Genomic DNA, 26,928 nt, shown 5'->3' with positions numbered 1-26,928 from the left:
CTCCCTTTTCCATTCGTTTCCTCTTCTTGTCCCTCACTTGGCCAGTGACAATAGGAAGGCAGAACTTATAATAATATTGCTTAAATTGTACAGTTTCTTCTCCTGTAAAATGGGGGTAGCAAACCCTGCCTTTCATAGGATTAAAGAGCTAATGTACGTGAAAGTGCTTTTAAGCCATAAAGGATAGATCTAAGATGAAATAGTCCTGTTATTGATATTGTTGTCTCCTGGTCAGTCTTAATTTATAAACTGTTCTCAGCTGGGGCTCCAGAATCTAGCTGATCTCCGGACCTGAAGGGTGTACTCTTGTGGAGAGATTTGGAAGGATAAAAGATGGCTTTGGATAAGAGACATAATTCATTGCTGCCCTAATGACCAGAATTCTGCAATATGGTTCCTGGGACACACTGGTAGACAGTGAGGCACCTTCCTTCAGGGGCTTCTTTGTGCAGTGATGAGTTTCCATGAGACAGTAAAGGGTTCCTCCCCATAGGCTGCAGAGTGAATGGGCCCCTTAAAAGCACCTCCTTCTCTGCCCCTGCTGCTGATGGATGAATGACGGCCCTCTGCCTGTCTGATCCTGCCTCTAGGGTTCACTTCTCTGGCAACAGTGGGGTGTCAGTGCCAACTACGGGCTGCTCCTGCCCTGGGGAATGATGCGAGGATGGATCTGGACAGCATCCCAGACTGCCCTGCCCAACCCCAGTGAGCCAGGTCTGGGCCCCCAACCCAGCTGATCTTGTTCTTCCATCTCTTGCGGTGGGGGGGGTGGTCTGTGTGATGGGTGGGTGAGCACCTACAGAAAGCCCAGCCCAGTTAGTGACCTGGCCAAAAGGGCCCACAAGTCTGGCTAGATCCTCTGCCAGACACTGCTCCCCTTCTTCCAGGCTCTGACAGTGCGCTGTGACTTAGCCTGGCTAACAGGGAATCAGCAGTGGGTAAAAAGGAATAAAGCAGGAAATCGCAGCTCAGACATCTCAACCCCCCAGGGATCCTCCCCAGACTCTCCTGGACTTCTGGCCCTGTGCTAAGGAGTGTCTTTGGACCTGGGAGTCTCAGATCAATGCTCCAAAACTCCATGTTTCCTGGGCAGTTCATGTGAGTCAGATCCTGGGCTGGACTCAGAGACGATGGAGAAACAGAGCCTGCTCTGAAGGAAGCCACAGCCCAATGGGGTGGGTAGAGAAGCATGCCAGTGGACCAGAGGTGACAATAGATGTTTGTCAGCTGCAGAATTCAGGGCAATGGAGTGAACAGCTTCTTGGGGAGAAGCCAGAAAATTCTGCTCAGGGTTTCAAATGAGGGCTGGGGGAAAGGGGAAGGGGGAAGGGGGAAGAGGAGTGGCAAAAAGACAAGTGTGGGAGAGGGGAAACACATGCAACCACCTGAAGTCAGGTGTGTTGCTCTGCCACCCGAAGGCTGGCTGGGGCGGGAGGGAGGATGCCTGCCCAGGGAGGATGGCATTGTCTCAGGCCAGTGGAGAACATGGTGCCTAAGGCTCCAAGGCTGAACTAGTGATAGCAGCTGGAGCTGGGACTTGCAGGGCTTGGAGTAGGAATTCAGCCCCACCCTAAGGCAAAATCACTGGGCTCAAAGCTATCAGAAGTGGAAGCTGGGATGAAGAGAGGCCCTGGAAGGAAAGATAGGGCCTAGCCTGGCCAGGGGATTTGGAAGTTAAGCTCTTAGCATTTCCTTGGCACCCTGAGGCCCGTCTCAGCCCCTCCAGGCCCTTCTGGGATCCTCAGCAAGCTGGGGGTGGAGCTGTAGCCTGGGCCTTGTGCCAGTAGAGGGCAGGGCTGGGGCCAGGCAAATGCTGGGGGCCAGTCCCACTCAGGACTGTTCTAGAAGCAAGGGCATGTAGGTGGGGAAAGCAGGGTTGAGAGAGGGCTCCAAAAGTCACTCACAGACTCCTCACTGCTGGGAGTTTTTGCTGCCATCTTACGGGGGACCTTTTCCAGGATGGGCGTCTTGGTGAGTCCTGGTGCAGGGATGCAGAGGTGTGGACCTGGGGACCAAGAAGTGGGAAGCATCAACACAGCAGCCACATAGGCCTGTCACAAACCCTCCACCTCCCGCCAACAGACCCCCACCCCAGCCCCATGAGGAGGCCAGAGCCTGACAGCTGTGTATAGGGGTCTCATTGCAGGCGTGGCCCCAGTCTCTACTTCCACCTGTACGTGCTGACCACAGTGTTCTCTCTGGGCCCCCATATGGGAGAGAGTGGTTCCTAAAGTGAGGGTCTGCTCTCATGAGTCTGTTGTCACCCAAGGCCAGCTGACCACCCTGGGGCAATCCAAATCCACCAGGGGTTGCTGGCAGAGTGCTGCCTTTGTTCCTGCCTGGAACCCAATAGATAAGTGCTTTGCCAATCAAACTCTCTCTTTCCCACTAGCTTCTCAAGGGTAAGACCATACCTACTGTGCTCAGTGCTTCATCTCTGCATTCCGGCCACATCTCTGGTGTGGAGTAGGGTGAATTCCCTCACTCCGTTGGTGGAGGGAAAGGAATGCATGCGTGGGTGAATGGAGGCCTTTAAGGCCCTGTGCTCCAGGATGCATCTGGGCTAATTGGGAGCCTGGCCTGTGGCCAGGGCAGGGAGACTCTGGGCCTGCTGGAGGCGTTGTGACCTAGGCAGTCTCGGGTCTGCAGGCTGCCAGTGTAGATGCCATAGGAGTGCCCAGGGAGGTATGCAGGGAGGCTGGGCAGCCAGGGCCCCTAGGGGCCACCTGCCTTAGTCTGGGGAGAGGCAGATTAATTTTGAAGGTACAGTAGAAGTGAGCCAGGCCAAGAGGGCAAAGACTGTTATTATTAGGCTGTGGGTCACAATTGCTACCCTCTGAGATCCCCCTGAACCTAAGCCTCCACAGGCACATACTCATGTTTTCCACCAGCCCACCCTCTATTCTCTCAAGTCTAAAGCTGAGGTTTAGCTAATTTCCTCACCCCTCTCCCCACCCAACACCACCCCTACCCAGAGGCAAGCACCGCCCATGTATGGGCACCTGGCAGGGTTGTTGCCAGGAACAGAGAGTCCAGAAAGATGGATGAACCAGGCCCAAGGATGGAGGAGCCTGGGGCTGCCTTGCAGTGCTGGGCAGAGAATGTAAAGCCCTTGCTGGCACAGTGCAGGGACACTCTCCACAGGCTTGTTCCCACGCCTCCCAGTGCTGTGGGTTCGTAGGGGCTGCCCCCAACTGCAAAGTGAAAGAGGTGGCGTCCTGGTGAGGATTCACCGGAGCATGGCAGTCTTTTGAGAGGACAGCAAGGACAAGGTCAGGTTGGTAAAGGCCCTACAGACCATGCAGCCAATGCCTCCTTTTGCTCTGGCCCAGAGCCCCCCCCTCCCCCCCATTCGGGAGACACTAGTCAGGCTTCAGGGACCCTGAGCTTGAAGAAGGCAGAGCTGGGTGGGATGGTTTCCTGGTGGTCCCACCTACCAACTCTTCTTCCTCCATCACTCCTGGGCAGATGCCTAGAGGATGTATGTGTATATATGTCTGTTTGTGTTTTGTGCCTCCCACCCATGCTCCTGCCAGCCTGGCTTTCCAAGGGCTGCCTGCTCTGCCCCGAAGGTCCAACCCCAGTCTGGCCGGTCATTCACAGGCTGTCATCGGCTATGTCCTGGCTCAGACTTGCCACCAGCCACTGCTCCTCCTTCCCCACCCCCTGCTCCCGGGAGAAGCGGTTGCCAACCAGCAATTCAGGCGAGTCGGGTCAGACCCAAGGACCCTCCGACTAGACACAGAAAGCGCGGACCTGGTCACTTAGCAGATGCTGGGCCAAGTGAAGTGAGAACATGCGCTTGGAGTCCCGAAGCCCTGATGGTTAAGCCTCCCCAAGCCCAGGCACCGAAGCAACGCAATCCTGCAGCTTCCTAGCTGACCCCCGACGGCCGCTGCTGCGCAGGACTCAGAGGACTCCACGAGTCCTGGGGCCTCTCGGCCCCGGTGCTGTCCCTGGATAGAGCCCCCGACCGCCGCCCTTGCTCCCGGCACCGCGCTCCGCCAGCCCAGCCCAGCCCTTCTTCTCACCTGCTCTCCTCGGCTCTGCTGCCTCGGCCGACGCTGCACCGCACCACTCAGGAGTGTGGGCGGGGGTGTGAGCCGGAAGGGGTGGGGGGCGTGTCGCAGCGCGGGGGTGGGGGCTGCAGCCTGGGTTCCCGGCAGGGCCTCCGACGTCGCCCGGGTCCCCGCGGCCACCCGACTGGAGAAAGCAAGCTGGCCGCACTTCTCTCCTTCCTCTTGTACCTCCTCCCTCCTCTCTCTTCCATTTCCCCCCTCCCCCAAGCCCCCTCTTCTTCGCTGTCCTCAGCCCCATCCCTTCCCCAGCTCCCCGCCCAGGGATCTCAGCTCCCGGCCCCCAGAATCTACCCGGAGCGCTTCCCGGAGGAACTCGGGCAACAAATTTAGGCTCTAGAAGGGGGCACAGAACACTGTCCCGCCCATGCCTCCTGCCCCTAGCTCAGCATTTCCCAGTCACCGCACTTCCCCAACCCCATTATTCCAGCCTTGGGGTGCTGCTGCTGAATCCTGGAGAGGGTTGGGTCTGAGGAAGTCTCTGCTCGCTGCCCTCCTCTCCCCACCATCCAGGCCAGTCTCAAACCCTGCTACACCATCTTTCAAAATAATAATAAGAAACAATAACTGGGATCAATATTCACTGCAGGACTTCCCTTTCTGTTACCATCCCATTCCTGCTGGCACTATGGGGTGGGGAGCAGAGGTGGGGTGCTACAGACTTGGGACAATCCTGATGGCAGACCTGAGGATGCTTAAGGACTGCGGCAAGAGGCAGGCTCTCCTCTCAGACAAAAGCATCCCCCACCCCAGATAGAGACCCCCACACAGAAATAGCACAGACAGACCGACAAAGGCAGACTCCGCCCAGGCACACACAGCCCGACTCGCAGATCGAGGACAGACATGCGCACAACAGCAGAGCAGACCCTCACAGGCGCAGCTAACACACAGGCGACCCTGACCAGCCGCCTCTTCACGCTATGATGGGAAGACTCTGCCTCGATCATCAGACTACGGTCTTCGGGACATGGAGTGTTGCGCGAACGCTGGCTTGAGGCTCTCAGGGCTGGGACTAAGGATGGGAAACTTTCCTGACAGTCCTGGGCCGCTGCTCCCACTCAGGACAGGGTGGCAGTGGGGGTTGGCACCAGATCCCACACTCGCATCTCTCCCTTCAAGACTCAGACCCTCGGGACTGACAGGGATACAGCAAACACCAACCACGGCTCCCCCACTCCTCCTAGGACAAGTTCTCTAATGAACACACACATCACATCATACACACATTTCCAGAGGTCGGACTCTAAAAGATGGGCCGTTTTTCTTCCTCTGCCGGAATGCTCGGCTCCTACTCCTTTCTCAAAGCCTCAACGGGGCGGGATTCTGGTCTGAAGGGAAGCTCAGCCCAGGCACCTCAGAGCTCTGAGGCTGGTGTGGGGCGTGTCCTCAAAGGGCGGGGCCTGGCGTGCCTAGCTGGAGCGGGTCCTCAGGCTCCCCCGGGCGGCATCCCCGGGCTCTGCGCTAGGCCTGGAAAAGAGGGTCTATCCTGGGCTGAGGGGAGCATGGTGCTCCTTGGTGACCGTGGGTGACAGCCTTTGTTGGGTTTGCTTCCTTCCTATCCCCTTTTCCAGGTAGAAAAACAGCTACAGGTGCCTACGTGTTAGTTTGGCTTAGGTCTGGATTGGGACTTGGAGACCCAGTTCACCCTCCCCTCTGCTCTGGCCCTGCGCGCCTCCACGCACCCCCCACCAGTAAAGAGACTCGGCCTCCTGGGACAGACACAGTTTATTGATTTGGGCGGAGGCGCCGCGGTGCAGCGGCCCAAGTTTGGCACTGGGAGCAATGGAAGGAAGGACAGACAGATGCAGGCTCTACACAGGGGAGCCGCAGGTGGGGACTCAGGGTCCTCTTCACCTCCGCAAGGAGCGCGATGGCTTCGCTGGCCTCGGTGCTCCAAGCCCCATTGGACAAGAGAGAAAGGGATATGGAACGGGTCACAGGGAGGGGATTTGGGCAGAAGTCAAGGTTGAGGAGTGGCTGGGGTACTCGCTGGAGGAGGTGGGCCCTGAGCCAGAGCTGGCCAGTGGGCTTGCAGAGCAGCCCCCTTGACCCAAGGCGGTTGGGTGGGCTGGAGGAGGAGTGGGGATGCTAGCTGCGGGTGTAGTAGTAGTTGTAGTCGTCCTCGCACGCATCAAAAGGGCCAGGCGGGCTGCGAGGCTCGCCGTCCTGGCCAGACACAGGACGCTCACGCAGGCGCACCGCATCGTACAGACCTTGCGGTGGCTCATCAAGCAGCACATCGCGCTCGGAACGGGAGCGCGTCAGGAGGCCCACGTTGCGGAGCAGCAGCAAGACGGGAGCATAGAGCAGGTTGGCCAGTCCCATGCCAAGGCTGAGCTGCTCAAAGCCCAGCGAGTGCACAATGTGGCCTGCCACTATGGGCCCGAGCGCGTAGGCCACCGAATAGGAGATGTCGGCGATGGCGTAGACGCTGCCATAGACTGAGACATGGCGCACGTCCACCAGGAAGGCGAGCGTGGGCAGCAGTGCTGTGTCGACTAGGGCTATGCCAAAACAGAGGCCGCATAGTGAGACCACTAGCGGCGCGAAGGAGCGGCAGGCGGGCACGATGCACGAGCTGGCGCCGATCACAGCCAGCCCAAGCGCGCCGTACAGCCACTGCAGGTGTGGGTAGCGCGCCGCCAGGCGCACGGTGAGGTAGACGCCCAGCACATGAGGCACGAAGGCCGGCAGCCAGGCCATGCCCATCTCCCACTCGGAAGCCGCCATCGTATGCTTCATCCACGTGGCAATGGTGGGTTCGAGGAAGGCGAGGGGAATGTTACAGGTGGTGAGCGCGCCGGCCACCACGGCAATGTAGGGGTCTAGCATGAGGCGGTGGATGGGAGTGCCCACTGGCAGGTTGGCCCGAGCCCGTGCAGCCGCCGAGAAGGGTTTGGCCACTGCCAGCAGCAACAGCGCGTCAAAGAGCGACACGGCAGCTAGCACCAAGAAGGGCACGCGCTTGCCGGCGAACTCATAGAGGATGCCCCCGAAGGGCGGGGCCACTAGGCTTCCGAAGCTAATGAAGGCCAGCGCCACGCCCAGTGCACGACTGCGCTCCGGCTCCTCCGGGTACTTATCGGCGATCATGGCTATGCCAGACGTGTCGGCGAAGGCTGAGCCCAGGCCCTGCAGGCTGCGCGCCGCGAACAGCGTGGCGTAGTCCTCGGCGAAGGCGAACAGGACTGTAGAGGCGAACATGACGCCCAGGCCGATCAGCAGCGGCACGTCGTAGCTCATGCGGTCGATGAAGGGCCCGCTCAAGGGGTTCACTAGCAGCTGCAGGATAGCCTTGGAAGCAAACAGCACCCCGATCTTCACGTCTTCGCTCTCCGTAGGGTAGCGGGGCCGAAGGGCTGAGCCCGCTGGCCACGCAGCTGTCGGGGACGCCGAGGTGTTGGCCGTGTAGGCGCTGGCATTGGCCGGAGTGGGCAGCGGCAGGGTGGGCTCCCACACCTCGGGAGTCCGGGTGGGGCCCTCGCCGCCCCCGCGCATGTGGGCGATGTAGTCGGGCACTATGGGCACGATGACCATGTACAGCATGTTGTCCAGTAACAGCGCCACGCACACGATAACAAGCACCAGGCGCCTCTGCCGCCGGGGCTCCTGCAGCGCCGCGCCCACAGCCTCCGACAGCTTGGTGGCCGCCGCCCGGGCCTGGCCCGCAGGTTCCGCGGATTCCATGCCCCCACCCCGATGCTCTTCCGAGGACGCCTCCGCCAGGGCCGAGCGCTGGCGTCCCGCAGTGCAGAGGCGAGGGCACGGGACTTCGGGGAGGCTGTCCTGGCCGAGCAGACTCCCCTGTGCCTCAGGTGGCCGCGGAGCTCATGGCCCAGCGTCCCGGGAAAGGAAAGGACTCCGTCCGGCGAGGCGTTGCAGCTACTCTTAGCCGATCCCGGGACCCGCGGCTGCTGGGCTCAGGGGCGGCCGGGAAGTCGGGCGCGCCGAGGGGCCGGGGCCGGAGACTGGGCGCACTTCGCCCGGGGCGCGCCCAGAGCAGCCCCCGCCGCGCTAAGAGGCCGCCCGCGCTGGCCGAGGGACATGCTGTTGCCGCCCGCCCGCTTGCCCGCCCGTTAGCCCCGCCGCTGCGCTCCCCTCCCCTCGCGTCGGCTCTTGCCTCCTCCGCCGCCTCCTCTTTTTTTTTCCCTTCCACTCGGGGCTGTGACGCGGCGAGTCCCAGCCCCCGAGTGGTGCCCGGGCCACTTACGTCGCTCATGCTAATGCGACGTCGGCGGGGCGGGGGCCGGGGGCGGGGCGTGGCCGGGCAGGGGTCCGCTCTCCAGATGCTCCAGGGCTGGAGGCCCAGGAAGGGCTCTCGGTGTGGAAGTCTTGAACCAGCCCCTGGGATGGGCGTTCCGCGCCGGTAGCTGGCCCTCTGCCCCCCGCCCCCTGCCTGCCCCCCGCCCGCGGTTCTAGGACTCGCGGGGTCAGCGCCCGCTCTTCTCCTCTTGGGGAAGGGGGCGCGGCAGCCGGTTCCTCGAGGCCCCTTGGGAGAGGCGGGAGCCAGAGGCTTGCGATCTCCGCTTCAGCCTGGACCTCGGCGCACAGCGAGCAGGAAGCCCCCGAGGTGAGCCGCCGCTGCGTCCATCTGTTCTCGCAGCTGGATTGTGGAGCCGCGTCCGGAGGAGCGCTGGACACGGACACCCCCAACCCTTTCTCCGACTCCGCCCCCTGGCCCCTTGCACACACACTCCCGCCAGGAGGGGAGGGGAAGGCTCAGCAACTGCCTGGCCTGGCTCTGACCCACCGGCCCCTCCGCAGAATTTCTCGGCCGCGAATCGCGGCCGGGAGCTTGTGGGGACTGAGGGCAGAAGTTGCCGCGCCCCAGTCGGGGTCGCGAATATTAGCCTGGCCGCTGCCGCCCTCCCGCACTGCCTGGCCACATTCCCCTTGCCTGGAATCCCCCTTTCTCCTTTAGCGGTCTGGTCCCCCAGCTCCGCCTCTTCTCTCCCCGCCGCCGCACCCCCTCCCCACTCTAACTCCTCCCAGGCACTCTTCGCACCCGACCAAGCCCTCCCTCGGCTCCTGCCAGCCTCCGCCCCCTGTTCTGCACACTCCCCCATCCCTCATTTTCCAGAGCCTCCTCCAAGCCCCGGGTGGGCTCTGGAGTGACTGTGGCTGGGGTCCTCTCTTGGAACTGTAAGAAACCCTTCTTGGGTGCCGCGCCCACTCCCCGGAGAGCGCCCAGCCGCTTCGCTGTCGTCAGGGGCTCCAGGGAGACTCACCTTCCTTCTGAGAGGGCCGCACCCCTTGAGGCGCCCGTGCTCAGCTGACAGGCTGAGCTGCCCAGGCTGTGCGCTGGGCCTGACGCGTCCCCAGAGCGGCGTTGACCCTGGATGGCACATGGAACCCGTGTTCCAGTGGGCGGACTGGCGGGAGAGAGGCTCCAGGGCGGCTGAGGTTGGAGGTGGGGATTGTGTTGTTGAGATTACGGTTTGCGTCTCTCTTCCAGAGTCAGAGGGGAGCCTTCCCATTTTTCTGGCCTCAAAAGTAAAGCAGCATTAGACGCAGATGCTTCTCCCATTGTGCCCCCCACCCCGCAGGAAGTGCCGCGATGCAGTGCAAAGAGTGTGGTCTTTCGAGGCAGACAACCAGGATGGCTCCCAGCTCTGCCACGTACTCATTAGAGTACCTGCAGGGAATTACTTTGCCTCTCTGTCCCTCAGTTAGTTTCTTTGTAAAATTGAATAATAATAGTACCTACTGCTAAGGGGGCCGGGCACACAGTAAGAGCAGTATAAGGACTTGCTATGTTGTTATCGTGTGTAGAATGTGCGGTTTATCCTCATTTTTCACTTGTGGGTCTTGTGAAGAACAGATGAAAGACACAGGGGGCACTTGGCTAGCTGGCTGATCCCTCTGGCTAGGTGGGCATTGTGACTCCAGGCTCTGTCTGGGTTGGTGGAGGACCCGGAGGGCATTGGAATGTCTCCATCTGTCCCTGAGATGGCTGTAGGATGAGGGGATGGGGACCAATGTGTCAGGGTGAGAGGCGGCAGCCTGGCCACCTGTTGCTCAATTCCTTCACCCACCCAGTCACCCTGGGAAAGGAGAAACTCATCCACTGAAGGGCTGCTGCCACCTGCTCTGCAGTGACTGAAGTGCCCTCTGTCTGAGGGAGGAAAAGAGTCCCAATGTGGGCACAGGCCTGGCCCTGGATGACCTTGGGCAAGTCACAGCCCCTCAGTGGGGCCCAGCCTCAGCCTCCGTCTGGTTCAGGTTGAGGTGAGAGCCCACTCACTGCAGCCCTTAGCAGAAGTGCGTGCTGCAGAAGACTCTTTGGAGTGGGCTAATTATTTTAAATTGTATTTGATGGCCTTTCGTCAGTACATGCACACTCTCCAGCACATCCCAATCTCGCCCCAGCTGACTTCACACACTTATGCCACTTGCTGGTTCTCCAGTCATTTCCGTTTGAGACCTCTGGGCTCTTCTGACTCTCCCATTATGAGGCTCTTAAAGGGGCAGTCTCCCAGCCTACAAAACAATTATTATTTATGCACATGCTATTTCCCCTGTCTGATTAAAGAAAGGAGGAAGGAGGACTTGAAGGACAATTTTTTTTTATGTCTAGTGGCTGAAGAACAGAGGAATCATAGAGGACAGGAACTTTCCCAGGGCCTTCAAGGTGCAGACCACATCTCCAGCCCTCTGGCCCACATGGCTGTTCCTGAGCATGAAGCCAGGTATCTCTGGGCTCATGACTAGCTCTCCAGTCCTCGGTTCCTGTATGGCAGGAGGCACACTCATTTATTACTTGCTTTGTGCCAGGAGTATTGTGTGTGCTGTTTTACTCCATTCTCCTGCAATCCTGGTGCAGTGTAGGTGCTATTCCCCTGGTCTTATCAGGTGAGGAAGCTGGGCGTGGAGATGCTGGGTGCTTGCCCAAGCTCCCAGCAGCAGATCCTGGAATTAAACCCAGGCTGGGGGACCTGTCTTGTGGTCCTCACACTGCTTCCCTATTCCCGGCACGGCGTCGTGCTCCTGCTGCTCCATCTCCAAGGTGGCCGCACGCTGGCAGTGTAGGGGTGAGGAGCAGATCAAGACCCATGGGAGGAGGAAGGTCCTGGGCTGGCTCCCTAAGGAGGCTCCAAAGACACTAAACTCCCTCATTCTCTAACTTTCAGATCAGAGGGCAACGCCCCCCCAATCCATCGTGGCTCCAAATACGGGAGTGCCGGGGTTGCAAGGAGGCGTCAGGCCCCTGCAGCAAAAGGCTACGGGAGGGTCTGAGCCGAGATGGGACCTGGCAAAGCCTCTTCTCCCCGCCAGCCGCCGGGAGCTGTCCAGGGTGCTGGCCCCGGCCCCACCGCAACCAAGAAGCCTCCCACGGAGGCCCCGCCCCTCTGGCTTCCTCTTCACTTGAACGCTTGGTAAATTCCTTTCCGGACTCCTCTATCTGAGCATAACTTGCAGGCAACAGAGAACTTCCTGTCCAATCCTGTAGGAGAAAACGGAAGCATTTTTCTCTCCTTTCTCAACCAGAAATAGCAGCTGTTAGGGCAGCGTTCATATCTGGTACTCAATTAAAGTTGAATGAGTAGAGGAAGGAAGGAACGTATTTACTAGACACATAGTAGAGCTTATAAGGCATCAGGCACCGTTCTAAGCATTTGATAAGCACTAACTCATTGAATTCTCTCACCAACCTTCATATTACTTTCTTATAGGCAAAGACACTTAGGTAAAGTAATGTATTCAGTCAGAGAGCTCACAAGTGGTAAAGATGGGATTCCCATGCAGGTGATTTAGTTCCAGCTTCCTGCTCCCAGCCACCATGTGGCCCTGCTGCAGGATGGCTAAAGACTGCGAGATAGCTCACTTGAACATGTCTAGCCCAATGCTTGATACCTAGTAGGAGTTTAATTGTTATTATTTTATATGGATAGAGACAAATTGGTGATTTCTAGCTGACAACACTTCTTCTCATTTTATCCACAAGATACAACTGTGTCCACAGTCTGATGGACTAAAATTTCTTCCTTGCTGGATCAGTGCCCTGTCAGGGGAGGGGGGCTTGCTGGGGATGGGGGAGTCCTGGTGTGTGGGAGTTTGGGAGGGGTGGAAGGATAGCCATGCTGCACCAGTGCCTGGGTGAGGTCTAGGGGGTGTTTGGAGGTCTTGGGTGGGTTGTGGTGGTGGGGTGCTGCTGTGGATGGAGGTGCCAGCCCAGCCTGGCCTCATTTCTGAGAAGGTTGTGGGGCCATGTCATTTCCAGGGCTTTGCCATTTGTTGCTTCCCTGAAACATCTGGTTCCAGAGAGGTGAAACCACTGTATTTCTGTGGAGAAGCAGGCTGGTGTTGGTGATGGCAGTGTGTGGGTGGGGCACCTGCTCCTGATTTATTATTTCTTTGTCTCTCTGGAAGCACTTAAGCACAGGCTTCGTTCCAATCGAGCTCATGAGCCTCTCTGGATTCCAGCACTGGGGGCTAGGGGTGCAGTTTGCTCAGGGCTCCATAACCCATCCCCTGTGCACCGGCTCAGGCGGGCCTCAGCATCATTTAATTAATTTAGGCTTCCCCAGTCATATATTCTCAGATTCAAAGGAACAAAGTGGCCCCAGTCAGCCTTTCCCAGAAACCTGTGAGTGTGGTGGCTGGAAGCCAGAGGACTACGTGCCTGCCTGCCTGCCCTTGGCCAGCCTGTCCTCGGTGCCCAGACTTGCTTTGTGCACAACATAGCTGGGCTTCGAGAGGGAAAGAGACTGCAGGTGCTGCTTTGTGGGTGGGCCCCAGGGCTCCTCTCTACAGCTCCCAGGGACAGGACCTTGCTCACTTGCTTTTTTTCTGGCTCCCTGACACTAACTATGAATCATTCGTTGGAAGCATGGCCTCCAAATCCCTTTGGTTTCTGTTCTCTCCACTTTCTTTCCGTCTCAATCCAATTAATGTCTCAGATTCATTTCCCTCCTCCATTGAGACCACTCCCTGCCTGCCCCCAGCCCAGATCCTACATCTTCCCCCACAGTGGGACAGTTAATCCCTTCACTTGTCCCTTGCCTCCAGACCCTGACAATCCACCCCTGCAGGGATGCCAAGCTTCTTTTCTCTGCAAAGTTTCAGGCAAGCTTCCAGTCTGTTCACAGACCTCTCAGGGACCCCTGCTGCCTGGGACTGGAGTCAGCATCATCTCCCCACATGGTGGCCTTCCTTCCACAATGCCTCCCACCCTTCCCATCTTCATCTTCCCTTACAGGCCCCAGGAGCTCCTCCCTCCACACCTTTCAATCAATGTTGCCTTGGTTCCTGCCCAGTTTTGCCTCTCCTTGGTTGCCATATTCTTCCCTGATTCCCAATACATTGTGAACATGCCCCCATCCAATCAAATTTTCTACTCCTCTTCTGAAATGTATCCCACACAATGTTGGAGGTGTTCCCCTACACCTCAGAGCCCCTTGCAGACAAGATCTGTATTCTGCTTGTTAGGCATTCTGCACAGCACTGGCCATAGCATTTTGCATGAGAACTGATGTGTCAGTGGTTTTTAAAAATCCATCTCTACATTTATTAGAATGAAAATTAATCATGTAATTCATACATATATGCATTCTTTTCATAGAAATCAGAGCACCATGAAAGTTCTGAGTGGTGGTCACCTCTCAGATGCCACCACCCTTACTGCTTTGGTGTGCGTTTTCCAAACCCTTTCTAAATTTGTTTCCATACATACATATGAGCTCATATAAAATTTAACATGAGTGGCATTATACTTAAACAAGTACATATTCACATAAATTTCGTTATATATGTATCATTCTGTATTTCTCTTGTTTTCCACTCAACATTATATCCATTTTAGCCTACGTAGAAATAGTTGGATTTTCTCAGCTGCCGATGCAGAGTATTTCTGGCTATGAACATGCCCCAGTATTTTCAGCTGTCCCCTATGGATGGGCATTGGGTCAGGTCTGATTTCTAGGTGTTACAGTATTGAGATGGATTTCCTTGTGTTTGTGTGGAGGTGCTTCCCCAAGTGATAGAAAAACAATGGAGACTGCTGGGTCAATTCTAGCAGTCTCCACATTTTAAAGTTTAAGTCTCCAAATGGCCCTATAAAGTGGTAGTATAAATGTATCTCCCTTGTCCTCCCACAAACAGCATATAGGAGTATAGATCCTCCTCCACTTATGATGGGACTATGTCCTGATAAACCCACTGGAAGCTGAAAATATTGTTAAGTGGAAAATGCATTTAATACACATAATGTACAGAACATCATAGCTTAGCCTACCCTAAACATGCTCAAAAAGCTTCCATTAGCTAACAATTGGGCAAAATCATCTGGTCACACATCATGGAGTATTGGGTGTTTTCTCTTGTAATTGCATGGCTGACTGGGAGTTGTGGCTCGTGGCCTCTGCCCCAGCATCTTGAGAGTATAGTACAGCATATCACTAGACCGGAAAATATCAAAATTCAAAATCTGAAGTATGGTTACTACTGAATGCATATCACTTTTGCACCACTGCAAAGTTGAAAAATCATGTCATACCACGTGTAAGTGGCAGATGTTTGTACACAATTCCTCATATTCATGCCAATATTTGCTCTTATCTGTCTTTTTCCATTTTATCAATCTGGTGGGAGAAGAATGGTATTTATTATCATTTTAATCATTTAATTGTTTAATTGGCTGAGTACTTTTTTATATGTTTATTGGCCATTTGTATTTTCTCTTTTGAGAATTGCCTGTTACTTGTTTCTCTATTAGTCTTTTTCTCAACATTTTAAAACAGAATGTCTTTGCCCCAAATATTTACATTGTGGATGAAAATTATTGCTACTTCTTCACTAGTAGATTCTATGGCTAATACTTCTTGGGCTGGATGAATTAGAGTGGATGTGAGGTTGCTGCATCAATTAAAACCCTTAAGAGCCTCTTCATCATCAATGGGAGATCCAGATTCTCAACATAAAAGATTGTCTATAATCTGTCCACCTCCATGCTCTCAATGTGATGCCTGGATTTGACTCCTGATTCCATCACCTTCTATCTATCTAACCTTGAACAAATTTACTTTCATGCTCTGGGTCTAGGGTCTGTTATTTAAAAAATCTTACAGAGTTGTCTCTTCTTTGCAAGTTTCTAACTCTGACCTTGTGCAAGTTACTTAACCTCTCCAAACCTTACTTACACATCTATAAAATGGGTGCATTGACAATACCTTGTAGGGTTTGGTATAATGGAATGAGATTACTTGTAAAGTAAGCTGATCCTGTTGTAAATTATACCAGTTCCTGCCTTCCTGGATGACTCCTATTCATCTTTTATGGTCGAATTGAGCTGTGTCCCACCCCTCAACCCCTTTGTGTTATGATCACGCATCCACTACTGTACTCATCACACTGAATGGTGGGGATGTGTTCACATGGCAATTTCCTCGCCCTGAATGCAGCCTTGAGGGTGGGGGCTGAGGTGGCCAGGCTCACTGCCTGGCACAGAACACCCTGAATCAATAACTGTGGAATGGAGGAACAAGCCTGTTTGTCAGTTTTGAAAAGACTTAGGGCTTTCTCATTATGCCAAAGTTCTGCTGAGTTTGGAGTGGATGCAGGGACACTTAGAAGGAAGTTGAAGTATTCTTGACAAATACTCCAGACACACCCTGGGGAGACCAGGAAACAGCTACCCTGGTTGACTAGTCAGGTAGGCAGAAAAGATGTTTAAGGGAAACTGTATTTTACAGTCAGTTGGCTTTGTTGGGAAAACCAAGGAGACAGATGAAGGCTGCAGCCATCTCTCCTGAATTCCGAAGCTTGTCATGATTAGAAAGGTCAGCACTGATCAGCCAGGTCACTTCCCTTTTCATATTGGAAAAGTGTAGGTTTGGTGCAGGGGTCTCCTAGGACACCAGGGCAGAGGGAGGGTGGGGCTGTGTGCAGGGGACTGCCTCGGAAGGATGCCCATGGAGACAAATGCTATGCCTCTGCTCTATATCCCAGTGCCTGGCAAACAGTGGCAGAGGGGGGCTTAGTGAAAATCAATTGGACAAGCTTGTTTAGGAGCCAGTTGTTCTGGGTGGGTAGATAGCAACCATCTACCTTGTGTGCTTTGTTAATGAAGCCATGGGTTCAAGATCATCTATCTTGAGGTAAACAGGCTTCTGCTGAAAGGGGCTCCTGGATGCAGATGGGGGAGACACAGGAGGAAGCCCCATCTAGTGGGAAGGCTGAGCCCTGAGGAGCACGCATACTGTGCTTGCATGGTCACTGCAGGCTGGGTACAGAGAGGAGCAGTGGCGCCTGCAAAGTCCCCCAGTTTCAATGAAGTGTGTCTTCCCAGGCTGTCAGCCACCGCCGTGTCTAGGCAAGTCTGATGTGAGAGAGACAGGTCAGGAGATGTCATGGTGCCAGACACAGCGGAAGGCTTTTACTGTCATTAGCTTTCACTCTCAGAACACCCCTGTGAGGTCAGTCCTCTTCTGGGCCCCATTTTATCAGTTGAAAATTGGCAGCACAGGTGGATGAGTAATGTGCCGAGACACAGGCCATCTGACTCACGCTCATGAGTTCTTCATCCACTTGGCTGTGTGGCTTTGGTGCTTGGAGGTCTGAGGGCTTCCTCTGTGGCCTTCTCTTTCCATAGTCCCTCTGACCTGTGTGCAGGGTCAATGTAGGTGTCCTCCCTTGGGTAAGGGGGACTTTTCAGCCCCAAGTACAGAGGGCTGGGCACCCTTTATCTCTTCTTTCTCTAGACATTCTGACCTGTGTCCTTAAGAGCTCTTGCTGGGGCTATTGCAGTAGCCTGTTGGCAAATCCCCTCACCCGGTGTTGACACCAGCTCCTGATCCCCCAAATTGCTCCCTGAGTCAACCTTTAGAAATGTAGCTCTTCCAGGCCGGGCATGGTGGCTCACACCTATAATCCCAGCACTTTGGGAGGCCGAGGCAGGCGGATCACAAGGTCAGGAGTTCAAGACCAGCCTGGCCAACATGATGAAACCCCATCTCTACTAAAAATACAAAAAATTAGCCAGGCATGGTGGTGCATGCCTCTAATCCCAGCTACTTGGGAGGCTGAGGCAGGAGAATCGCTTGAACCCAGGAGGCAGAGGTTGCAGTGAGTGGAGATCATGCCACTGCACTCCAGCCTGGGCGACAGTGTGAAACTCTGTCTCAAGAAAAAAGAAAAAAAAAAAAAAAAGAAATGTTGCTCTTCCCCATAGTAGGAATTCATTAGATAGTTGTCTAATGGGTCATCCTCCTGCTTTACATTCTCTTTGCCTGGGGTCAAATGTACCAGTGCAGCTTGGCTTTTGAGGCCCTGGGTGTGTGGACCTTGCACTCTCTGCCACACACAAGGGTGCCTGCCCAGGACACATGTGTCCTGCTGTCCTGGTCCCACTGCTGACTGTGTTTCCTTTCCCCCTTTCCCAGCAGAGTGGGGTCCTCAACACAGGCGAGTGCTGGCCCCTGTGCACATGCCTCCACCCCAGTCTTGTCATGAAGGGCTCTTGGCCTGTGTTGAATCCATCTCATATCTCCCAAGCCCAAACAATGGGACCTCAGGCAGAAAAACACCTGGAATGGTTTGCGCCACACATGCATACCAACCTCTCTGAAGTGAGGCATGCTCTTTTATTCATTTTATTTGTTAAATGCAGTTCACAACACACTAATTTGGTTTTATAACCTGCAGCTCCTCACAACACCCTTATCACGTTCATATTATTATTCTCTCCCACTTTATATGTGATGAAACTGACACACAGAGAGATGAAGTAATTTACTGCACCACTAGGAAGTGACAGAACCAGGATCTGAACCCAGGCAGGTGGACCCAGAGCCTGTGTGCCGAGACCCCATGAATGTAGCTTTAATGATTGATCAGGGCTCCAGGGGCTGGGTGACTCATAGCACAAGAGGCCATACTGAGTGGCTTCAGGGGTGGCTTCAAGCTCCTCACCTTTGGGAAGTGGAGGCAGGAAGAAAGAGCTGAAGCATTCACCATCCCCTCCAGTGTCCAGCCTCAGCTGCAGGTGGCTCTGCCCAGAGCCCTCCTCTCACCCCTGCAGGAGCCAGGGGACAGTGGGCTTGTGCTGAGGTGAGGGGTGTTGGGACCCTTACCTCACCTGTGGTTTGTGCTCAGGAATGGGGCTGGGACCTGGAAAGGAAGCTGGTAGAGCCCCAGCAGAGCAGGGAGGGCACCAGAGCAGCATCCAGGAGGAATGGTGGTCACGTGGGCAGTCCTGGGCCACGAACAGCGGGCTGCTTGGCAATGCCGCCCCTATCACTACATGTGATCACGGTCGGACAGTGTGTCACACACATGGTCTGTGACCCTCTCAGATCTGTCATCACCGTGTCCCAGCACCTGGTGCCGTGCCTGACCCATGCAGAAGGAACACACCAAAGGTGGCTTTCTTTGGAGGGTCTCTCAGGAAGCTAAGTGACCAGAGTTCTGATTCTCTCTTGTTGAGATACAGGATGTTAAAACACATCTGAGGGAGCTTGGTAGCCTACACAGTGTCCATGTGGCAAGATGAGGTCTCCATGAGAGAAAAAGTCTGGAATGTTGACTCGAGATCCTGAGAGGACCAGACCCCAAACTCCTAGTGATGTCACAGAAGGGGCCTGGAGAAAAGGCTTACTTCGTGATGGGAAGAACTGGCTCCTTGTGGTGTGGGCAGGGGTGAGGGACATCCCTGACTGACCCTAACTCTGGCCCACTGGCCATATTGGTCAGGTTCTGCAGGGAAGCCTGACTCATGGCTGTCTGAGTAGGGGAGGGGTGTCCTCTAGATAGGCCTGGAGCTCCAGATGGTGACATGGCAGGGACTTGGATACTTTGTAGCTAGAGATAGGAATTCAGGTGTAGCCTTCAGCTGTGTGCATCCCACAGGTGTGTGGGGGACAGGCGTGGGGGGATGTCTGTGGGGCCGATCAACCAGGCACTCCAACCCAGTTGAAAACATGGTCTGCTTTGAGTGCCAAGAAGAATTACCAGAGCATTGTTTTTCCGGGTAATTAAGATGCTATTAATTAAACTGCATTTAAAGCTAGTTTCAAACTAATTCTTGATGACACACACATGTATCTTTCATAAAGGAGTGTGCTTCTCTCCCCTGGGCTGTGAGGCCCCAGCAAGTTGTGTTTGAGCATCGGTGGGCTCCATGTCCCACCAGGCAGGCACAGAGCAGGCTGTCCATAGTTTGTAAATGACCGAGTGATAAACGGGCAGGAGCCATTCCTCATTTGAACATCTCAGATGCCATCTGGATGCAGACTGCATGACCTGGGACATTCTTCTCATCTGACCCCAGATAAGGAGCAGATTCCAGACTCCCTGCACAGAGATGGATCGGCTCAGAAAGCCTCAGGCTGGGCACAGTGACTCATACCTGATCCCAGCACTTTGGGAGGCTGAAGATGGGAGGATTGCTTTTAGGCCAGGAGTTTGACACCAGCCTGGGCAACAAAGCAAGACCCCATCACTACAAAATCACCCAAGTGTGGCGGCATCTGCCTGTGGTCCCAGCTACTTGGGAGGCTGAGGTGGGAGGACCCCTTAAGCCCAGGAGGTGGAGGCTGCAGTGAGCTATGATCCCACTACTGCACTCCAGCCTAGGTGAGAATGAGACCCTGTCTCAAAGAAAGACTCTGTCCTTTCCCTGGTGGCTGGAAGGAGACCAGCAGGGCCAGGCCTGGCCCTGAGTAGTCTTGTTCAGCCATCTATGGTGAGGGGTGGGACACACTGACCAGGCACGGGGGCCAGGCTGTACCCACATGAGAACTTCCAGACAGGACCTGTTACTCGTGGCAGGAGGGAGAGGCTGGCCCAAGTTGTCCCCTCTCCTATGTCAGACAGGCCCATCTTTAGAGCCCATTAGAAGGGATGTCTGAGAAGCATCTGGCAGAGGGCATTTAGGACAGAAGGGTGAGGACGACGATTTTTTCCTGCATTGGTGGGGACAGATCTAGGCCACACCCCAGGCAGGCAGTTCAGGTCCAGATGGGAGACCAGGTGTGGGGAGGGGGACGTAGGACTGCAGAGCCTTGGGGACTAGAGAGGAAGTGTGCCAGGCCCAGGAAGCCACCTGCCTTCCCATGGCTAATGAAAGGGATCAAGCTGAGGGATCTGATGTTTGGGCTTTTTCGTAAGGATACAGTCCCAGATGCGTAATGACTGGTCCTAAAGGTAGAGGTAGGACCATTTTTATACTTCTTAGTGCAGAAAGCCAAATGTCCTCTAAAAGCATGACGCTGGGCTCCACCTCACCCACTGTGAATGGGGCCTCTTTAAGGTAATCACCTTTACAACACCAACAAGCTAACGTGGGATCCCAGCCAACCTGTTTAGTGATGGCCCTGTGATGGTTGGCAGTGCCGTCCCTCCCTCCCAGGCCCTGCCCTGCCCTGCCCTCACTTCTCCCAGTGTCTCCTCAGCATACCCCACTGTCCACCTCTGGTCCTTTGCCTGGGCCCTTCCTCTGCCTGGAAGGGAACCCATCTGCTGTCTCTTTCCCTCACCTCCCTGCCATCCGTCCTTGTTAATGAAGGCTTCCAGGATGGCCTTGTCTAAAACCGCATACCAGCACTTCTTAGCCCCCTTGGATGCTTTAGTTTTTTCCAGCGTGTCTCCCCATCTGATGTGTGACATTGTTTATGGACTATGTTTACTCTCTGTACCCCCTCCCTGGAATGGATGCCGCATGAGGGTACATGTGGGGAGGGAACAAAGTGGGGGTGGGTGAGGAAACAGCTGGATGTCAGCTGGAAAGAAGAGGGAGTCTGGTCATGCGGGCCTAGCACCTGCTGCTGGCTGGAGTGGGGCAGGGCCTGAGGACCCTGCAGGAGGATGGGAGAAGAGATGGGGACGCTTCCGGTGTCTGACACTCTGCTGGTCTCAGGAAGGGGGGAGAGGAGGGAGAAGCATGCCCAGAGACCCACGCTTTAATGCAGAGGAGGTCTCTGGGTGTTTTCTGCTTCCACTGGAGCTGGGTGACCATCCATTCCATGACATGTAGCCAACCCGGGATACATGGTCACCTCTGATGGGGACCTGGAGGTGGCAGATGCTGGTACTCAGAGGCCCTGGAGGGGCTATTGAATTAACCCAGAGGGAGGGCAGGAAAGGGATGGTGTCCCCAGAGAAAGCCAGGATCCTGGCCAGGTACAGTGGTTCATGCCTGTAATCCCAGCACTTTGGGAGGCTGAGGTGGGCAGATCACTTGAGGTCAGGAGGTTGAGGCTGTGGTGTGCTAGGATCGTGCCATTGCACTCCAGCCACTGCACTCCAGAGACAGACCCTGTCTCTGAAAAACAAAAAGCAACACAACAAAACAAAGAAACACAGAAAAGGAGATCCAGGATCCAGGAAAGCACAGAGGTGGAGGGCACATTTGAGGAAGTGGGGAATAGAGATGGGTGGCTGCCCACAGCAGCAGGAGCAGGAGGGAGTGGGCTGGGCTGGCTGCATGCAACTTTGAGAGGGGAACCTGGACGGCGCTGGAGGGGCACCTACTGTTGTTAGGACCCCACATCTGTAGAACCACAGAAGATGAGGTGCTGAGAAACCTTTTTCTCTGAAATCTTAGACAGCCAGACACTGGGCTGCTTGGAATCCTAAGTGAGAATGGGACCTCCCAGTAGTCTCTGGAGGACCCAAGTCAGGGGCTCACTGTGGCTCAGAGAAACAGCCTCCATTTCCAACCCGGCTGCAGAACTCCAGGTAAGGGACCTCAGACACAATCTGCCACATTGATCTTAACTTTGTAGCTTCCAGGGGCACAGGAGCCAAGGTCCATCTCTCAGCAGAGCCCTTCCCTACAGCCCTGTTTTATGTAAATCTGTCCCTGTGCTCCACCCTTCCCCCATCCTGTAGTCGCCTGTTACTCCTCTTGGGGGATGCCCCATGCTCCCGGGTGTGCACTGTGCAGTCTCTCTCATTGCACCAAGGTAACAAACCTGACTGTGTTGGGCTCTAATGGTGCCTCCCTGGGAGTCCTTATTAGATGTGCTTTGCTCTCCCTGGTTGACAGGAACACCCCACTATGGATGCAGTCTCAAAACCCTTTCACAACTGCCATTGCACTGGTGAAGTCAATACGATGAGTAGCTCCCTTTTACAGATGGAGAAGAGGCTCCTAGATCTCTTGTAAGTGGTGCTGGAGTCAAGCTGCAAAGCCCAGGAGACTCGCAGGTGCCAGCTGCAACAGGCCACAGCAGGAGGGACCTGGGCCTGGGTCCCCTCTGCTACAGTTGAGTAGAACAGAAGTGGCGGGCTGTAGCCAGGGCTTCACACCCACATACATGTTTCCAGCTTCTCTTGAAAAACAAGAAAGTCTGGTGACTCTAGGCCCCATACTAGCCCGGTAACTGCCCCGCTGATCCCTTTAGACCCAGCACACACCCTCCCGTTTCTCACGGGCCCCATCCAGCTACTGCACTGGTTTCTGTGATTCTCCTGCATCCTATAGCCATTTGAGTTTGTAATCTATGCTCCACAATGTTTCTGACAAAATGGGAGGCCCTTTCTGCTCCTAAACTGCGAGGCACAGGAAACTCACTGCTTCCTGAGGGAAGGGAAGGATGTCCATGTACGGGGGCCCTACCATGTGTGACTCGCTGTGCTGGGCATTTACATGCTTGCTCGTTTAGTGAACTGTGAGAAATGTAGGTTTGGCTTCATTTCAAAGATTTGCAAACTGAGGCCTCAATAGCAATGGAGTCTCGGTGACGTTTGGTGACTTGGATGAACCCTGCAGGAAGTGATGGACTGAGACTGGGCCAGATCTGTTCTCCTCCACAGACCATGCTCTGTCAGCTGCTGTATCCAGACTTCTGTTCTAAGGCTTTGGGGGTCATGTCATCATCTCTTCACCTCCCTCCAGGCACCCCAGGTGGAACACCCTCATGGGGTGTGACTGAGGGTATCACTCGGCCTTTTGTGGGAGGAACGAGGACAGAGCTGGTGGAGTAGGAGGGCCCGGTTTGGGTTTTTCCTCTAATTTATCAGCTGGGGACCCATGGAAAGAGAGCTCTGTGGTGCATAACGTTTGACCTCCAGTTCCGGGGCTGGGAGGAGCCAACAGCCAGAAATGCAAACCCCATTCCCCAGGGTAGATTATAGGGTCTCTTCCCAAGAGGAGACACAAGACCAACAGAAAACCAGCAGCTCCAGGGAATCAGTGTGAGAAGCAAGAGGCAGGAAAGGAGGAGACAGGTGGAGACGGCGGCCACAGTGCTCAGGCCAGCAGGACAGCTGGGGCAAGGGTGGCCAGCCTCAGGGCTATTCTTGCAGACACAGGGCTCAGACCACCCCCGTCCCTGTTTCAGACTGGACTCAAGGTTGACTGCAGCAGGCACCTGAGTCTCACAGAGAGCTGCCTGCATTTTGTTTCTTTCAAAAAAAGCAGTTTAGTGGCTAGGCAGAAACTGTTTGGTAAAATAAACACATAATCGACTCCTCGAGTAGCACCTGCTAATGTTGGAGAAAATAGCCCTGTGCTTGGCTGCAGGGTTTAACTGCTCTTGGGGTAAACCTGAGTGTGCACCAGAATCACCTGGAGAGCTTCTCAAAATGCAGATTGCTGGGCCTCATTCCTAGCAGTTACTGATTCAGTGGGTTAGGGATTTGCCTTTCTAACACGTTCGCAGCAGCGTGTTGTTTGTCCTTGCCTGGGATGATTCTACACTTTCCGGTACTAGTGGGAAGACCACACTTCCAGAACCTTGGCTGGGCTGATTCCATCACTGGTGTTTGCTGCCACCATCTGGTCACTCCTGAGAATGATGTGCTCTTTCTCGGGTTTGCCTCAATTTCGTTCATTCATCTGGTTGTTCATTTTAATTTTTATTTCACTGAAAGTATCTTCACTGGGATAAATTACCTTTCTTATAGGTCTCTCAATGAAGATTTGATTTATCCATTGGGCCTTAAAACTTCTTGTCAAATTTTGCCAATGTAACTCCTGCCTCTGCAAGTTTTCTTTATGAACTATTACTTTATCCATGGTTTAGTCAATTAAAAATTTTATCTGTGATTATTTACCTATTGTATTTTGTACTGATTATTTATTTTTTCTTCTTTTTTTTTTTGATATGGAGTCTCACTCTGTTGCCCAGCCTGGAGTACAGTGGCGTGATCTCAGCTTACTGTAGCCTGCTGTAAGCCACTGGGCTAGAGGTTGCTTGTGTGCAGGATGACTGTGGGGCAGCTGACAATACAGCCCCCTGCTCCCTGTTGGTCCTTGGAGATAAGGCAGAGAGCACTGTCACTCGCTGAGTGCCTGGGCCCTCATCTCAGACCGGCTGCTGTCCAGATCCTGGCCATGCCACTCAGAGTGATGTGACTTGGGTGTGGTGGGATAGACACTTGAATGTGGGAAATGCAGGTTGTTCTTTGAGCACCCAGGAAGTAGCAACTCCTCCAGTGTGGGAGAATCAGGGAAGGTTTCCCAAGGAACTATGGCTAAGCCGAATATCCCCAGAAAAGTAGAATAACCCCGCATGTTCTCGAGGGGAGAGTAGAGAACAGCTACAAAGGCAGAGAAGCAATCCCCTAACAGCTGGGCAGTGGTAGGGAGGGTCACCCATACAATATAGTGTAGACTCCCTTTTGGGTCCCCAAATGGATCTAAGAGTAAATCAGAGTTCAGTGGACATGGAGAGGGTAGTGATTTTCCAGGAGGAGGGACAGCCCATATGAAAGGAGTCTGCCGGTTCAAGACCCATGCGGAGTTGAGCAGGGCTGGGTGTGATGATGCAAGGGGTGGAGGGGAGGCTGGGCTGAGCTGAGGCCTGTGCGTCCACCACACCACGCTGGCTCTCGGCCTCAGCTGGAGCTCATCACACTGAGCCATGGAGCGGGGCATTGCACACAGAGGGGCAAGCTTGAAATGAGGTTGAGTTGGCACCTAGGCTGACTGTATTAGAGACTTTAACTTGCTTCTTGTGTTTCTTGAGTCTTTTCCACCTTGCTTGAAATAGCCATAGTGCAGCCATCCCTCCACTGACTCCTTTACCCATTTATCTGTCTGACCATCTGTCCTCCTTCCGTCGATTTCTCTACTGGGTGATGGGAACACAGAGGAAAATGGGCCATGGCCCTTCTGTCCAGATTCCAGACCCAACAGCCTTTCCTCATGTGTCTGGATGTAGAGCCACTCACCCTACTCTGTCTCGTCCATGAAATCCTGTTCACCTTTCAAGGTTCCCCTTTCAATGAATCCCTCCTCTGTGAAGCTCCCCCTGGTGGTGCCAGGCAGAATCAGCACCTCCCTACACTGCTGCCTGGGACACAGTTCCTTGAATGAACGGATAGATGAGCCAGGAGTGGTCACTTCCTGGTTATTTCACTGCATTGATCCATTCATTTGCTGTTGAGTCAAGGAAAGGTGAAAAAAGAAACAAAAAGGGGGTCTTGGCAGCAGCTCTCTCGTTCTGCAACTCAGAGCTGAGACCAGATGCCAGCCTGACAGATGCTCGGAGCATCCCTACCTGCCTCACCCCACCCCAACAGGCTGTGGGAACCTTGAGAGGTGCATAACTCTGGGGAGGCACTGGTCGCGGAGTCTGGAAGACTGGTGCTGTCTGCCCCGCCATGTCTTTCTCTCCAGTGCACATCCTGTCTCCACCCTCTCACATCTGCCTCTACTACCTGTCTTGCATTCTACAGCAATGAGCAGAAATTGTAGCCACTACTCAGGCATGCAGGAAATAGAAATCCTTTTTATTCTAATTCCAACCCCCACTCTGATGAAGTGCAAGAATCCTAATCTTGGCCAACACAGGACCTTCTCTCTTCCCTTATAGCTGAGGCTGGAATTTGGAGAAGAGAGGGCTTCTGCTTCTTGGTATCATTTGTCTGTGCATGTCATGGAGTGGGGAGGGTGGCATCCTTCATCCCTGTTGTGTGACCTCATGACCTCTTAGGGTCTGGCTGGCTACCTTCCTGCCCCTTCTGGGCTGATTTTGGCTCTCAGGAATTCTTCTGTTGAGAGATTGCCTAAGATTCCCTCTGCTTAGACGTCCAATGCAACCCTTCCTTCCTTCCTCCCTCCCTCCCTCCCTCCCTCTCTCCCTCTTTCCCTCTCTCTTTCTTTCTCTCTTTTTTTTCTTTCCTTCCTTCCTTCTTTCCTTTCTTTTTTTTTTTGACAGGGTCTCACTCTGTCACCCAGGCTTGAGTGCAGTGGTGCAATCTTGGCTCACTGCAACTTCTGCCTCCCGAGTTCAAGCAATTCTCATACCTCAGCCTCCCGAGTAACTAGAACTACAGGCGCGCACCACCATGCCTGGCTAATTTTTGTATTTTTAGTAGTGACGCCATTTTGCCATGTTGGCCAGGCTGGTCTCGAACTCCTAACCTCAAGTGATCTGCCTGCCTCGGCCTCCCAAAGTGCTGGGATTACAGGCATGAGCCACGATGCCCAGCCTGATGTGATCATTTCTCTTGAGAACACCCCTGCTACATCTCCAGAGTCTTACCTGGATACAGGCTTAGCTTGCCTCTGCTCAGAGACCCAACACACTTACCTGTATTCTTATGTTTCCCTCAGTCTCAGCCTGCGAGCAACTTGCAGGACCCCCTCTTTGGGATCTGCTCAAATCTACTCTCTCGTTGTTCCCCCCAACTCCTCTTTTTCCTGTTAGCCTTGGTAATGGGGTCCTGATTGATGGGAGGCTGGTGGTGAAGTAAGGAGAGGTGGTGGAATCCTTATTCTTATCCACCATGTTTTTCTTGTCCATGAAATCCTATTCGTCTGTCAAGGATTATCTTTCAGTGAGTCCCTCCCCTGTGAAGCTCCACCTGATGGTGGCAGGCAGAATCTAAGGGCCTTCTTAGGCTTTGAGACTCAAAGCCTGAAAAATGTCCCTTTTTGTAATCTACCTTCTTTTGTGGGGTC

General features: G+C 54.4%; 2 protein-coding genes across 8 annotated transcripts in view, besides 9 other annotated features; both read right to left on the bottom strand.

The window, feature by feature from the left end:
• CHAT (choline O-acetyltransferase) overlaps positions 1 to 9,412 on the bottom strand; it is a 58,848-nt gene extending 49,436 nt beyond the window's left edge. For 2 of the 7 annotated variants that reach the window (NM_001142934.2, NM_001142933.2), the window contains exons 1-3: positions 4,032 to 4,470; positions 2,415 to 2,484; positions 1,905 to 2,005 (exon numbers count right to left, since the gene is read on the bottom strand). In NM_001142934.2, the coding sequence (NP_001136406.2) occupies positions 1,905 to 1,937 (33 nt within the window). In that variant the 5' untranslated portion in view covers positions 1,938 to 2,005; positions 2,415 to 2,484; positions 4,032 to 4,470. Of the gene's footprint in view, positions 1 to 1,904; positions 2,006 to 2,414; positions 2,485 to 4,031; positions 4,471 to 5,304; positions 5,410 to 9,307 lie in introns of those variants that run through there. The other 5 variants (NM_020549.5, NM_001142929.2, NM_020985.4 and 2 more) reach the window with 4 other exon arrangements.
• Positions 5,431 to 6,328: an enhancer, noted in NCBI's record as "H3K27ac-H3K4me1 hESC enhancer chr10:50820225-50821122 (GRCh37/hg19 assembly coordinates)". NCBI's record gives its function as "activates a minimal SCP1, AML or CMV promoter by ChIP-STARR-seq in naive H9 embryonic stem cells {active_cell/tissue: H9 hESC(naive)}" and the evidence as "EXISTENCE:reporter gene assay evidence [ECO:0000049][PMID:30033119]".
• Positions 5,787 to 8,197, bottom strand: SLC18A3 (solute carrier family 18 member A3). The gene has a single exon (NM_003055.3). The coding sequence runs from the start codon at positions 7,764 to 7,766 to the stop codon at positions 6,168 to 6,170; it is 1,599 nt and encodes a 532-aa protein (NP_003046.2). The 5' UTR covers positions 7,767 to 8,197; the 3' UTR covers positions 5,787 to 6,167.
• Positions 6,329 to 7,225: an enhancer, noted in NCBI's record as "H3K27ac-H3K4me1 hESC enhancer chr10:50819328-50820224 (GRCh37/hg19 assembly coordinates)". NCBI's record gives its function as "activates a minimal SCP1, AML or CMV promoter by ChIP-STARR-seq in naive H9 embryonic stem cells {active_cell/tissue: H9 hESC(naive)}" and the evidence as "EXISTENCE:reporter gene assay evidence [ECO:0000049][PMID:30033119]".
• Positions 8,270 to 9,064: an enhancer, noted in NCBI's record as "H3K27ac-H3K4me1 hESC enhancer chr10:50817489-50818283 (GRCh37/hg19 assembly coordinates)". NCBI's record gives its function as "activates a minimal SCP1, AML or CMV promoter by ChIP-STARR-seq in naive H9 embryonic stem cells {active_cell/tissue: H9 hESC(naive)}" and the evidence as "EXISTENCE:reporter gene assay evidence [ECO:0000049][PMID:30033119]".
• Positions 9,065 to 9,860: an enhancer, noted in NCBI's record as "H3K27ac-H3K4me1 hESC enhancer chr10:50816693-50817488 (GRCh37/hg19 assembly coordinates)". NCBI's record gives its function as "activates a minimal SCP1, AML or CMV promoter by ChIP-STARR-seq in naive and primed H9 embryonic stem cells {active_cell/tissue: H9 hESC(naive and primed)}" and the evidence as "EXISTENCE:reporter gene assay evidence [ECO:0000049][PMID:30033119]".
• Positions 11,230 to 11,524: a silencer, noted in NCBI's record as "tiled region #3429; HepG2 Repressive DNase matched - State 10:DNaseD, and K562 Repressive DNase unmatched - State 8:EnhW". NCBI's record gives its function as "represses a minimal TATA promoter and a strong SV40 promoter by Sharpr-MPRA in HepG2 and K562 cells {active_cell/tissue: HepG2 | K562}" and the evidence as "EXISTENCE:reporter gene assay evidence [ECO:0000049][PMID:27701403]".
• Positions 22,771 to 23,270: an enhancer, noted in NCBI's record as "H3K4me1 hESC enhancer chr10:50803283-50803782 (GRCh37/hg19 assembly coordinates)". NCBI's record gives its function as "activates a minimal SCP1, AML or CMV promoter by ChIP-STARR-seq in naive H9 embryonic stem cells {active_cell/tissue: H9 hESC(naive)}" and the evidence as "EXISTENCE:reporter gene assay evidence [ECO:0000049][PMID:30033119]".
• Positions 23,271 to 23,772: an enhancer, noted in NCBI's record as "H3K4me1 hESC enhancer chr10:50802781-50803282 (GRCh37/hg19 assembly coordinates)". NCBI's record gives its function as "activates a minimal SCP1, AML or CMV promoter by ChIP-STARR-seq in naive H9 embryonic stem cells {active_cell/tissue: H9 hESC(naive)}" and the evidence as "EXISTENCE:reporter gene assay evidence [ECO:0000049][PMID:30033119]".
• Positions 24,381 to 24,880: an enhancer, noted in NCBI's record as "H3K4me1 hESC enhancer chr10:50801673-50802172 (GRCh37/hg19 assembly coordinates)". NCBI's record gives its function as "activates a minimal SCP1, AML or CMV promoter by ChIP-STARR-seq in primed H9 embryonic stem cells {active_cell/tissue: H9 hESC(primed)}" and the evidence as "EXISTENCE:reporter gene assay evidence [ECO:0000049][PMID:30033119]".
• Positions 24,881 to 25,382: an enhancer, noted in NCBI's record as "H3K4me1 hESC enhancer chr10:50801171-50801672 (GRCh37/hg19 assembly coordinates)". NCBI's record gives its function as "activates a minimal SCP1, AML or CMV promoter by ChIP-STARR-seq in primed H9 embryonic stem cells {active_cell/tissue: H9 hESC(primed)}" and the evidence as "EXISTENCE:reporter gene assay evidence [ECO:0000049][PMID:30033119]".

The sequence above is a fragment of the Homo sapiens genome, chromosome 10 (assembly GCF_000001405.40).
Source record: "Homo sapiens chromosome 10, GRCh38.p14 Primary Assembly".
In the NCBI taxonomy this organism is placed as follows: domain Eukaryota; kingdom Metazoa; phylum Chordata; class Mammalia; order Primates; family Hominidae; genus Homo; species Homo sapiens.
Note: the sequence above shows the minus strand (reverse complement) of the source record. Positions and strands in the feature narration are given on the sequence as shown.

What these genes read in the sequence shown, in the direction of transcription:
- SLC18A3 (NM_003055.3), bottom strand. Translation starts at nt 7,766, where the DNA reads ATGGAATCCGCGGAACCTGCGGGCCAGGCCCGGGCGGCGGCCACCAAG.